The 14,079-nt window shown below is 39.7% G+C and overlaps 1 protein-coding gene across 8 annotated transcripts in view; it reads right to left on the bottom strand.

The window, feature by feature from the left end:
• The window catches only part of DACH2 (dachshund family transcription factor 2), a 684,152-nt gene that overhangs the window by 412,392 nt on the left and 257,681 nt on the right, over nucleotides 1-14,079 (bottom strand). The gene's annotated exons all lie outside the window — the stretch shown is intronic.

Raw genomic sequence — 14,079 nt, 5'->3', positions numbered from 1 at the left:
ACCTTCACCAGCATGCCTTCCCATAATTGAGGTATATATGATTGACTAGCCACTTTGCTTTATTCCTTAACTGTTTTTGTTCTCTATGAGGATCCGAAGCCAACAGAAAAACTGTATGAGTAGGGATGTTCACTGCAGGTGAGAATGCTATTTATTAAGTAGTGGTTTGTGTCAGTTCTCATCTAATCTTCACAATAACGCTTCAACGTGCATACTAGTTTAATTTTTTTATCTGAGCATACTGAGCTCACAGAGTTTGAGAAACTTTCCCCAGGTCACAATAGCTAGAAGAAATAGTGCATGAATTTGAACCAAGATATCTCCGATGCCAACAATTCCACCCTTTCTATTGGACCATGCTACCTCCTGAAGCTAGGCATCATCTGTATGGTCTTATGGCATCCTCACCTCAATTCAAGGATCAGGACATTACCTACAAAAGTGACTACTTTGTGGTGTTATCATTCCACATAATTTTCTGAGATAATCCCCTCACAACAGCAACATTCTCATGAAATTCACATTCTACATCACAAAAGCTAACCATGAGAAAGTAGCCTTTTGATATGGTTTGGCTGTGTCCACACCCAAATCTCATCTTGAATTGTAACTCCCACAATTCCCACATGTCATGGAAGGAATCCAGAGGGAGGTGACTGAATTATGAGGGTGGGTCTTTACTGCACTGTTCTTATGATAGTGAATGAGTCTCACGAGATCTGATGGTTTTAAAAATGGAGAGTTTCCCTGAGCAAGCTCTCTTGCTTTTTGCCTGTGGCCACACATGTAAGATGTGACTTGTTGTGCCTTGCCTTCTGCCATGATTGTGAGGTCTCCCAGGCATGTGGAACTGTAAGTCCAATAAACCTCTTTCTTTTGCAAATATCCCAGTCTCGGGTATGTCTTTAACGGCAGCATGAAAATGGACTAATACAGTAAATTCGTACCAGTAGAGTTGGGCGTTGCTGAAAAAATGCCCAAAAATGTGGAAAAGACTTTGGAACTGGGTAATAGGCAGAGGTGGGGACAGTTTGGAGGGCTCAGAAGAAGACAAGAAAATGTGGGAAAGTTTGGAACTTCCTAGAGACTTCCTGAATGGCTTTGACCAAAATGCTGATAATGATATGAACAAGGAAATCCAGGCTGAGGTGGACTCAGATGAAGATAAAAAAATTGCTGGGAACTGGAGCAAAGGCAACCCTTGTTATGTTTTAGCAAAGAGACTGGAGGCATTTGGGCCCTGCCCTAGAGACTTGTGGAACTTTGAACTTGAGGGTATCTGGCAGAAGAAATCTCTAAGCAGCAAAGCATTCAAGGGGTGACTTGGGCGCTGTTAATGACATTCAGTTTTATAAGGGAAGCAGAGCACAGAAGTTTGGAGAACATGCAGTCTGTCAATGTGATAGAAAAGAAAACCCTAATTTTTAAGGAGAAATTCAAGCACAAGTAATGAGGAGCCAAATGTTAATCCCCGAGACAGTGGGGAAAATGTCTCCAGGGCATGTCAGAGGTTTTCACAGCAGCACCTCCCATCGCAGACCAAGAGGCCTTGGAAAATAAGTGGTTTTGTGGGCCAGGCCCAGGGTCCACGTGCTGTGTGCAGCCTACAGACTTGGTGTCCTGCATCTCAGCTGCCCTGAGTATGGCTGAAATGGGCCAACATAGAGCTGGGACCATGGCTTCAGAGGGTGCAAGCCTCAAGCCTTGGCAGCTTCCATGTCATGTTGAGCCTGCAAGTGCACAGAAGTCAAAAATTAAGGTTTGAAAACCTCCGCCTAGATTTCAGAGGATGTATGGAAACACCTGGATTTCCAGGCAGAAGTTTGCTGCAGGGAAAGGGTTCTCATGGAGAACTTCTGCTAGGGCAGTGAAAAAGGGAACTGTGGGGTCAGAGACCTCACACAGAGTCCCTGCTGGGGCACCACCTAGTGGAGCTGTGAGAAGAGGGCCACTCTCCTCCAGACCCCAGAATGGTAGATCCACTGACAGCTTACATTGTGCGCCTGGAAAATCCCCAGACACTCAATGCTAGCCTGTGAAAGCAGCTGGGAGAAGGCTGTACCCTGCAAAGCCACAGGGGTGGAGCTGTCCAAGACCATGGGCACCCACCTTTTGCATCAGTGTGACCTGGATGTGAGACATGGAGTCAAATGAGATAATTTTGGAGTTTTAAGATTTGACTGCCCTGCTAGATGTTGGACTTGCATGGAGCCTAGAGTCCCTTTGTTTTGGCCAATTTCTCCCATTTGGAATGGCTGTATTTACCCATGCCTTTACCCCCATTGTATCTAGGAAGTAACTAACTTGCTTTTGATTTTTATGGGCTCATAAGCAGAAGGTACTTGCCTTGTCTCAGATGAGACATTGAACTATGGACATTTAAATGAGAATTAACTCATTTAATTCTGAAATGAGTTAAGACTTTGGGTGACTGTTGGGAAGACATGATTGGTATTGAAATGTGAGGACATGATATTTGGGAGGGACCAGGTGTGGAATTATATGGTTTGGATGTGTCCCCACCCAAATCTCACCTTGAATTGTAACTCCCACCATTCCCACATGATATGGGAGGAATCTGGTGGGACATGACTGAATTATGGGGGTGGGTCTTTCCTGCACTGTTCTCATTATAGTGAATGAGTCTCATGAGATCTGATGGTTTTAAAAACAGAAACAGGAGTTTCCCGGCACAAGTTCTCTCTCTTGCCTGCTGCCATCCATGTAGGATGTGACTTGCTCCTCCTTGTCTTCTGCCATTATTGTGAGGTCTCCTCAGCCCTGTGGCCCTGTAAGTCTAATAAATCTCTTTCTTTTGTAAATTGACCCATCTCAGGTATGTCTTTATTGGCAGCATGAAAATTGACTAATATACTTTAAAACAATTTAGTAAATCTAGAGCTCTTCAATATAGTTTGGATATTTGTCTTCTCCAAATCTCACATTGAAATTTGATCCCCAATATTGGAAGTTGAGCCAGATGGGAGATGTTTGGGTCATGGGGTCAGATTCCTCATGAAAGGCTTGATACTTTCCTCACAGTAATGGAGTGTCTTCTTGATCTATTAGTGTATGGGAGATCTGACTGTGGTTTCTTTTTTTTTTTTTTTTTTTTTTTTTTGAGATGGAGTCTCTGTTGAACAGGCTGGAGTGCAGTGGCATGATCTCGACTCACTGCAACCTCCACCTCCCAGGTTCAAGGGATTCTCCTGCTTCAGACTCCTGAGTAGCTGGGACTACAGGTGTCCACGACCACACTTGGCTAATTTTTGCATTTTTAGTAGTGACGGGGTTTCGCCATATTGGCCAGGCTCGAAATCCTGACCTCAGGTGATCCACCCACCTTGGGCTTTCAAAGTTCTGGGATTACAGACGTGAGCCACCACACCAGGCCAAGACCTGATTGACTGTTAAAACGTCCCTGGCAATTCCCTCCCCTCTCTCTCTTGCTCCCTCTCTTGCCATGTGATGTCTGCTCCCCTTTGCCTTCTGCCACGAATGAAAGCTTCCTGAAGCCCTCAACAGAAGCCGATGCTGGCACCACACTTCTTATACAGCTTGCAGAACTGTGAGCCAAATAAATCCCTTTTCTCAAGTATTCCTTTCTAGCAATGCAAAATGGACTAAGACACTCTTCACTCTCATCTTGCTGATGAACAGACATTTCTGCATCTTTTGCTACTCTCATAAACAGAAATGCAGTTTAAAGGCACTCAAGTGTCTGTTAAGTAACAGCAAGATCATTTATAATAAATGTGTGTGCCCACACACACATACACCTTGAATATTTTTTAAAATACTGTATATCAACTGCAATGAGAAACACATAGAATATAGACATCTATGCAATAAATCCCACTTAAGATAGTAGAACTAGAGGATAAGTGACTTGAATCCATTCACTGTGAGAGTCCATTGTATAAGTTGTATTCTTCCCACCCAACCCAGTCAAGCTCTCTGGAATTTACACTGACCACTCATTTCTTCAAACAAATACACAGTCACATTTCTGTTCATCACTCTATGGCTTTAATTTCAGATACAAAAGAAGAGTTTTCTGCATATACAATTGTGTAAAATCCCTAAACATATATTTTTCAGTTTTCCACATTTTCTTGATTTTTCTCCAATTCCCAGTTATAATTCTCATTTTGGTCCCCTACCTCTTTCTCAATATAAATTAGCAATATGTTGCTTGACTTCAAACCAGAAATCTTATCAGAAGGAGCTTTGATGTCTTGAGAACAAAAAGATAATAAAACCAATGAGTACCTTTTCTTCCTTCCTCTCAGAAACCTAGTGGATTATAGAGGCAGTACTATTTTCTTATATATACACAACATTTTATTAATTTCTCAAAACATGACTCTCCCAGACATCTAACTAACAATTATTTTCTGGTCAAAGAAAATATTGTAATTTCCCTCTTACTGGAAATGCTGCACTACAGCTAAAGTACAGTGAGAGCCATGTATTTTCTCCAGATAAAATGTCGTGATGAGTACAAATCATTTTTATGACTTTTTGTATAATTTTGGGGAAAATCTTCTTTAAAGTATTTCCATATCATTCAGCAAATTGAATTGCAGTACCAAGAATGAAGGGGAGGAAAGATAGTGAATAAAGGAGGACTTAAAGAAAAAGCTACACCAAGGCAAGATAATCTCCTGAATTAAAATAAAAAATTCATTGTGATGGCCTGTTGTTGAAAACTGAGATGTAGGAATAGAATAGAGATGTAGAAGGAAATCACAATTCTTTTCTTTTTCTTATCAAATGAAAAACCAAGGTAAAAGATGATTTGGAATTAGGCAAAATGAAGACAAATGTAACTGGCTTGCTTTCAATAGAGCTATACTCTCCAGTGACTGATGCACACCACAAAAACAATGAAGGAACTGCGTAACTTTGACCAAGTGCTTCTAAAAATTTCTACAGAAATTAGTCCTACGTTGAAAAGAAAGAAAGAAAAGATCCCAGCTACTAGACTGTCAGTCCAAATTGCTTTATGTCTTAGTTTTTTCATCAATTCTGGTCTATTTACTAAGACACAGGTGCTCAGGACATATTGGTAATAAATCTAAACAAGAAGAAGTATATCATCTTCTTGCAGTCTAACACTTGATATGGTTGTCAAAGCCATATAGCTGCATGAAAACATTCACATGTACTGTGACGCTTAATACTGAGTGTCAACTTGATTGGATTGAAGAATACAAAGTATTGATCCTGGATGAGTCTATGAGGCTGCTGCCAAAGAAGGATTAACATTTGAGTCCTATAAGTCCTGTCCCTCTAGGGAACCCTGACTAATAAATATTTTGGTACCGTGAGTGGTTCAAGAGGAGCAGAATTTATGAATTTGGGCCCACTAAGTAGGGACTCTGCTTTTAATGTTGCAGTTGAGGGAGTTTAAAAAAAAGGTTCTAATAGTTTATTTGCTTGGTTAGCTGAAATATGGATTAAAAGATGTCCCACTGTGAGTGAGCTGGAAATGCCTGATCTCGCTTGGTTTAATGTAGAGGAAGGAATCCAAAGGCTTAGGTTGATTGGGATGGTGGAGTAGATTAGTCACTTTAGACCTACTCATTCCAGCTGGGAGGGTCAAAAAGATATACCCTTGACCAATGCCTTGTGAAATAGATTTGTGAGGGCAGCAGCTGAATCTTTGAAGAGCCCTATAATTGCTCTTCTCTGTATGTCAGATCTAACAGTAGGAACCTCAGTCACTCAAATACAAAATTTAAATACAATGGGAATAATTGGATCCCAAGATAGCAGGGACCAACTGGCCACACTCAAATGTCAAGGTAAAGGTAGGCATAGTAACCATAATGGACAGCAGAGGCAAAGTGGAAATCAGAACAGTGTGACTTGTGTAGAGCTCTGGCACTGGCTAATTAATCACCGTGTTCCTAGAAGTGAAATCGATAGGAAGCCTACTGCATTCCTACTTAATTTTTACAAACAGAAAATTTCTAGGTCGAATGGACAAAAGACTGGTTTGAATTATAGAAACAGAGAATCACGGCCCCTCAAACAATTTCCAGACTTGAGCCAGTTAGCCAGTTTACAGACCCAAAACCCCTTGAATGAAAGGGAGGCTGGGTCCCCTTGAGGAAGAATCCCACTACCTTACTGACAATTTTTGCAGTGAACCTTTCTCACATCCTTCTCTAAGGAGACCTCCGACCTTTTACCAGGATAACTGTGCATTGGGAAAAGGGAAGTGATCAGGCATTTTGGACACTGGCTTTGAGCTGACATTGATTCCAGGGGACCCAAAATATCAATGTGATCCTCCAGTTAAAGTAGGTGCTAATGGAGGTCAGATAATTAATGAAGTTTTAGCTCAGGTCCAACTTACAGTGGGTCCAGTAGGTCCCTGGACTCATCCTGTGGTCATTTCCCCAGTGCCAGAATGCATAATTGGCATAGACATACTTCGCAGCTGAAGGAACCCCCCACATTGACTCCCTGACTGGTAGGGTGAGGTCTATGATGGTGGGAAATACCCAATGGAAGCCATTAGAGCTGCTCTACCTAGAAAAATAGTAAATCAAAAACAATATAGCATCCAAGGAGGGACTGCAGAGACCCAGCATCAAGGACTTGAAAGAAACAGGGGTGGTGATTCCCACTACATCCCTATTCAACTTTCCCATTTGGCCTGTGCAGAAGACAAATGGATATTGGAGAATGACAGTGGATTATCATAAGCTTAACCAAGATGTGACTCCAATTGTAGCTGCTGTACCAGATGTGGTTTCATTGCTTGAGTAAGTTAACACATCTCCTGACACCTGGTTTGCAGTCACTGACTTGGCAAATTCTTTTTCTCCATTCCTGTCCATAAGGCCCACCAGAAGCAATTTGCCTTCAGCTGGCGAGACCAGCAATATACCTTTACTGTCCTACCTCAGGGTTATATCAACTCTTCAAAAAGACTTCTATTGCTTTTTCCTTCTGCAAAATATCACACTGGTCCATTATATTGATGGCATTATGCTGACTGAATCCAGTGAGCAAGAAGTAGCAGACACACTGGACTTATTGGTGAGACATTTGCATGCCAGAGGATGGGAAATAAATCTGACTAAAATTTAGGGAACTTCTACCTCAGTAAAATTTCTAGGGGTACTGGGGTATGGGGCCTGTCGAGATATTCCTTCTAAAGTGAAGGGTAAGTGATGCATTTGGCCTCTCCTACAACCAAGAAAAGGCACAATGCCTAGTGGGCCTATTTAAAATTTGGAGACAACACATTTCTCATTTGGGTATATTACTCGAGCCCACTTATTGAGTGACCCGAAAGGCTGCCAGTTTTGAGTGGGGACCAAAACAGGAGAAGGCACTGCAACAGGTCTAGGCTGCTGTAGAAGCTACTCTGCCACTTGGGCCATATGACCCAGCAGATCCAATGGTGCTTGAGGTGTCAATGGCAGATAGGCATGCTGTCTGGAGCCTTTGGCAGGCCCCCATAAATGAATCACAGCAAAGGCCTCTAGGATTTTGAAGTAAGGCCCTGCCATCTTCTACCAAGACTAGTATACGTGGACTCATGGAATGCCTTATCCACCATCATGGTATCCCACACAGCATTGCCTCTGACCAAGGCCCTCACTTTATGGCTAAAGAATTGTGGGAGTGGGCTCATGCTCATGGAATTCACTGGTCTTACCATATTCCCCATCATCCTGAAGCAGCTGGATTGATAGAATGGCGGAATGACCTTTTGAAGTCACAATTACAACACCAACTAGGTGACAATGCTTTGCAGGGCTGGGGCAAAGTTCTCCAGAAGGCCATGTATGCTCTGAATCAGCATCCAATATATGTTACTGTTTTTCCCATTGCCAGGATTCATAAGTCCTGGAATCAAGGGGTGGAAGTAGAAGTGGCATCACTCACCATCACCCCTAGTGATCCACTAGCAAAATTTTTGCTTTCCGTTCCCACAACATTACATTCTCCTGGCCTAGAGGTCTTAGTTCCAGCTGGAGGAATGCTGCCACCAGGAGACACAACAATCCCATTGAACTGGAAGTTAATATTGCCACCTGGACACTTTGGGCTCCTCCTACCTTTAAGTCAACAGGCTAAGAAGGCAGTTACAGTGTTGGCTAGGGTGATTGACCCAGACTATCAGGATGAAATCAGTCTACTACTCCACAATGGAGGTAAGGAAGAGTATGCATGGAATTCAGGAGATCCATTAGGTGTCTCTTGGTATTACCATGCCCTGTCATTAAGGTCAATGAGAACTACAACAGTGCAATCCAGGCAGGATTACAAATGGCCCAGATACCTCAGGAATGAAGATTTGGGTCATGTTACCAGGGAAAAAAAACACAACCTGCTGAGGTGCTTGCTGAAGGCTAAGGGAATATAGGATGGGTAGTAGAAGAAGGTAGTCATCAATACCACCTATGACCACGTGACCAGCTGCAGAAACGGGGACTGTAATTTTCGTGAGTATTCCCTCCTTATTTTGCTAAAAACATGTTTGTGCATGTATACGCTTGTACTAAGAAAATGTCTTTATTTTATTTCATTTTCATTTATCATGTGACATAAGATTTATTGACTTCATATCAGCATTTAAGTATTGTTAACTTTATATAATAGTATTAGGGTTGGGGACCAGTGCGTTTTCAGTTGTACAAGAGATAGTCATATGATGTTAGGTGTAATTATGACCTCATTATTGTCTTCATTTGAAGATTATGTATAATTTCAGAAGATGTGTATGGGTTCAAGTTGACAAGGAGTGGACCTGTGATGGTTAATACTGAGTGTCAAGATGATTGGATTGAAAGATACAAAGTATTGACCCTGGGTGTGTCTGTTAAAATGTTAAAAAGATTAACATTTGAGTCGGTGGGCTGGGGAAGGCAGATCCACCCTTAATCTGGTGGGCACAATCTAGTCAGCTGCCAGCAAATATAAAGCAGACAGAAAATGTAAAAACAAGAGATTGGCCTAGCCTCCCAGCCTACATCTTTCTTCCATGCTGTGCTGCATCCTTCCTGCCCTCGAACATCGGACTCCAAGTCCTTCAGTTTTGGGACTTGGACTGGCTCTCCTTGCTCAGCAGCTTGAAGACAGCCTATTGTGGGACCCTGTGATCGTGTAAGTTAATACTAAATAAACTCCCCTTTACATATATACATATATATATATATATATAATCATATTAGTTCTGTCCCTCTAGAGAACCCTGACTAATACATGTACTAAGCACTACTTTCACAATATACTATATGATTAGCACAGATGTACAGACAAAGCAAATGTGGCAAAAAGATAGGCTGAACTGTTAAAGATTTGGAAAAACAAAACACAAGGACACTATGGAGGTCAGGACAGTGAACATGAAATTGAGCATATTTGGACATCTCTTGGGAAAGGAAAAGGTCAAAGAAATAAGTAATTTGCATCCTAGCTCCAAACACATTTTAGTTGGGATTTGAGACAACAAATTTCAAGTTGACATAAGAAATTAATCTAATATCAGGTGACTGATATCAGGGTAATGGCAGAAAATCCAGCAAGCAAAAATATTAAATTGTCTGAAAAGATGTCACCAGAGCATTAGTTTTTTAATTCCCATGCATAATAGGATGAGACTGATTTACTTTCCCATGTTTTTGGGAAGGCTTGTGAAATTCCCCTGTACCCCCAGAGTGGAAAGATGACTGTTGGAAAATCACGTAGTTAGTTCCAACTAGGAACAGCTGTTTGTTTCCAATTAAAATTCACAAGACCAAAATATTAATATATTAGGCAACAATGTTTAATTTAGACATCCAGAGTAACATTTTCTAGCAAAGCATTATTTTTTAAAGAAAGCTGTCATGATTATTTAGCATAAATAATTCATGGCAAAACAGTTTAGTGTCTGCTGTTGATGTGCAAACAACTTTATCTCATACTGAGAAAAAGCTACTTAATATGAATCCAAGTGTAAAGGATTGTTCCTTGGTAAAAACTGAACTTCATTCATTGTTTCTCAAATATTTCACTTAGTAAAGTATTGCTGTTTTAAACAATGGAAAGACTGTCTTTTGCTATTAACGGTGCAAGTTAATGAAGTGACAATAACAAAGTGATGCATCTGACAAAGTTTATAGATAAGGATGTCATGCTATAGGTTATCAGCCTACAGTATTGGCACTAGTCATATATCATACCTCTCCAACACATCCCATCAGCATTGTTTATTTTAAGACAGGGGTTAAATAAAGAGCAGGTATTAAGAATGCCTTTGGGGAACTGCTTTGTCTTACATACTATTCACCTGTTTACTTCAGAGCAAGTTTTCAGTTGCTTTTATTTAGGTTCTTCAGTTGGACAGATGGCATTTAACAATTTGAAATGGGCTTTAGATTAACTACGAGAGAAATATCAGTTTTACTTTCATTCCTACATTTGCTATATGATCCTTTGTATATCTGCATTGGCTATTCTTGCATTGTTATAAAGAAATATCTGAGACTGGGTAATTTATAAACGAAAAAGGTTTGATTGGTTCACGGTTCTATAGGGTATACAGAAAGTGTGGTGGCATCTACTTCTGGGGAGGTCTCAGGAAGCTTTCAATCATGATGGATGGCAAAGGGGGAGCAGGTATGTCACATGGTGAATGTAGGAGCAGGAGAGAGAAGGGGAAGGTTCCACACACTTTTAAATGACCAGATCTCCCAAGAACTCACTTGCTATCACAAGGACAGCACCAAGGAATGGTGCTAAACCATTCATGGGACATCCACCCCCATGATCCAATCACTTCCTACCAGGCCCCACCTTTAACTTTGGAGATTACATTTCAACATGAAATTTGGCCGGGGACACACATCCAAACTACATCAGTATCAATATGAAGTGCCACTATGCCATATTACTACTCCATGTGCTTTACTTATGGATCGTCACTTAATTATGAGTAGTCTTTTAAACAGTTGCCTCACACACTAGACCTTTGCAACCTGAAAAGAATGTTGAGATGTGTGATGGTCTGCAAAAATAACTAAAAGTTATTCAGCCTTGTATAAATAACTTAACAAATCACCAGAAAAAAAGAGTGATGATTAATTCTCTCTACTCAATAGATAATCATCCAAATATTTTTCTCCCTTTAATAATCTCAAAAACTAACCTACTCCCCTGGACTATCCTGGAGAGATATAAGAAGGTAGGCTCTTGAAGGACCTGTGGTAAACATTTAATGTACTTTCACTTTCTGGAGTAGTTTGTCCATTTCTTTTACTCTATTCATATTTATTCATCAATTCATTCATTTACCTTACAGTTATTCATTGAGCATCTACTAACATGCACAATATTCGATCATCCAGGGTAACAAAACAAATTTATTGATACCTGTACTCTGAAACTTTACAGCATAGTTTGTGACACAAATCATATATGGTGTATGTGACTAATGACTCAAGGGGTGTCCTGTGTTCAGATCCTAACAGGAATAATTAGAAAGTGCATATCCGAGAAAGAGAGCTTCTCCCAGATGTTTTTTCTACTCCAATTTTATTCCTACCTCTCAAGTCGCAAGAGCCTCATACAAATGTAGCTGAATTACTTGTGAGGTTAGCATAACAAATTTCCAATTGAAGCAACTATCATAATTTTAGTAAAATAATCCAAGATGCTATATTTGGTGTAAAAGACATTATTTATGTAATAATAATACTCGTAAGAGAAACAACAGTGTTATTCACTCCATCTATATTAGAATTTATTTTTAAGTTAAGGTGAGAAGAGGAATGCTTTCACATGATCCCATAACCCTTGAGTCATACCACTGGCAAAAAATCTTCCACAACTTTTCACTCACTTCCCTCTATCTGATTCCAGTATCCACAACACTGAGCTACTTGAGAGTAGAGATAAAGGCACATGCATCTTTGTGTCTCTGATGTCTAATACAATCTCTGGCATATAATATATGTTTATTAAATATTTCCTGTCACACATTAGCAAATCTGGTTATACTGTATTCAAATGGTACCATAAGCGAGATCATACAGTTTCTAATGGGTGCAACTGAGAATCTCTCACCATTTAATAGTGTGCAGTCACAACGATATCATTTTGCTTTGAACCTGGGACATTGTGACATTGCATAACACTTAGCCAAGCAGCGTGGTGAAAGGGGCACTGTACATTCAGTCAAATGGCATGGTTTAAGTCCCAAATCTGCCATTTACTAATTATAAAACCCATGATATTTGTTTCCTCATCTGAAAAAAAAAGAGAAAAATAATATCTATTATTGCCCTCTTCACATAGATGGTCTGATAAATAAATGGGTTGTGATACCAGAAAGCTTTGTAGAATAGAAACTGTAAGTCAAAGAATTATTTTCAAATGCTCAGTTATCACAGATTCTTCTGAAGAACCACTTCAGTCTGCTACAAAATCATACTCTATCCATGAAATTCAATGCTCTGCCTATCCTTCTCACATGTAACCCCCATGCTTTTAAATCTTTGGGCCTCTAGGCCTTAAAAAAATCTGCATCACTGACTTATCAAAACTCATCAGCCTTTCTATCTCCGTATGGTTGGGTATGGATTATCTCCATTTAGAAGCTCTTCCCCATTCTTTAGCAACAGAATACAGTTCAAAATTCAATAAAAGCAAAATGCCATTTCTTTGTTCATGGAGTCACAAAGTATGCTGGTCCACAGTGATCTCGCTCTCTCCTCAAAGCTTTTGTCTGTACTAATCGTGCCTGGCTTGTAATCAGAGAGTTGTTTAAAATTTAAAGATTCTGAGTGATAAGAAAAGCCACGCTTTATTGACTGAGTATTGAGGGATAGGTCATTTACATGTATTATATCTTCTCATAAAAAAGTAACAGTGTAGGTAATATTAGTATCCTTTTCTATAAATAAGAAAATGAAGGCTCAACAAGACTATATAACTGGCAAAAGGTCACAGAGAAACTGGCAGTTGTGGGGATATAAATCCAAGTTTATCATGTTCATTCAATTAGATTTCCAAACTTCCAGGCTTTATTCCTTGAAATTATAATAGGTTCTCAATATTCTTCATGAGTTCACTGTTTTATTTGATTATTGCATTTTTATGTTAACTAAAACTTTTCAGACCAAATCATGTTAGTTCAAGTCTCTGTGTTTATGCAGCTTTACTTTAGTTTCCCAGAAAAGCAAAAAATAAAATGAAATAATTTGGTCTGACACTAATTCCTACATGATTGCTTCATTAGTTTCTTTGCATGCATTTTCCCTCCCATTTTCATTTTAGGTTTTAAATTTCTTTGGATTTAAAGCAAACTGAAATAATTAACTTGTAATATGTATTTTTAAATTTAGATCTAAGAATATTCTTTAGATCCTGGACCAGAAGACATATATGAGGAGGTGCACTCTCAGCAGAAACTTGGAAAATAAGCATGCATATTCTGTTTCTGCTGTTAGAAAGTGAAACTGTGGAATACATTTTTTCCAGCACTCAGTTCAAAGCTTGCTGTAGGGATCAGTCATTCTCCCATATGTTCTGGACATATCTTAGCATTTCTGAACTAACATCCAATTATGTCTCTGTCTTAAGCATGTCAATATAAACTAAAACCATGTCAGTTTAACTAGCAACACCTCTAACAAACTTCTTTCTCTTTTCTAATTTCAACTTTCATTTTAGATTCAGGGTGAATATGTGCAGCTTTGTTAAATGGCTATAATGCATGATGTGATGCTGAGGCTTGGGGAACAGATAACATCACCCAGGTAGTGGACATAGTACTCAAGAGGTAGTTTTTCAACCTCCCTAATTCCCCACTCTAGTAGTCCCCACTGTCTATTGATGCCATCTTTATGTCGAGGACTACTGAATATTTAGCTCCCATTTATAAGTGAAAATATGTGATATTTAGTTTTCTGTTCCTCTCTTAGTTTGTGTAGGATAATGGCCTCCAGATCCATCCATGTTACTACAAAGGACATGATCTCATTCTTTTTCATGACTACATAGTATTGCACTGTGCATATGTACTATTTTTTCTTATCAAGTCTGCCACTGATAGGCATGTAGATTAAT

This window comes from Homo sapiens, chromosome X (genome assembly GCF_000001405.40).
Source record: "Homo sapiens chromosome X, GRCh38.p14 Primary Assembly".
NCBI lineage: Eukaryota > Metazoa > Chordata > Mammalia > Primates > Hominidae > Homo > Homo sapiens.
This window is presented reverse-complemented; position numbering and strand designations above follow the sequence as displayed.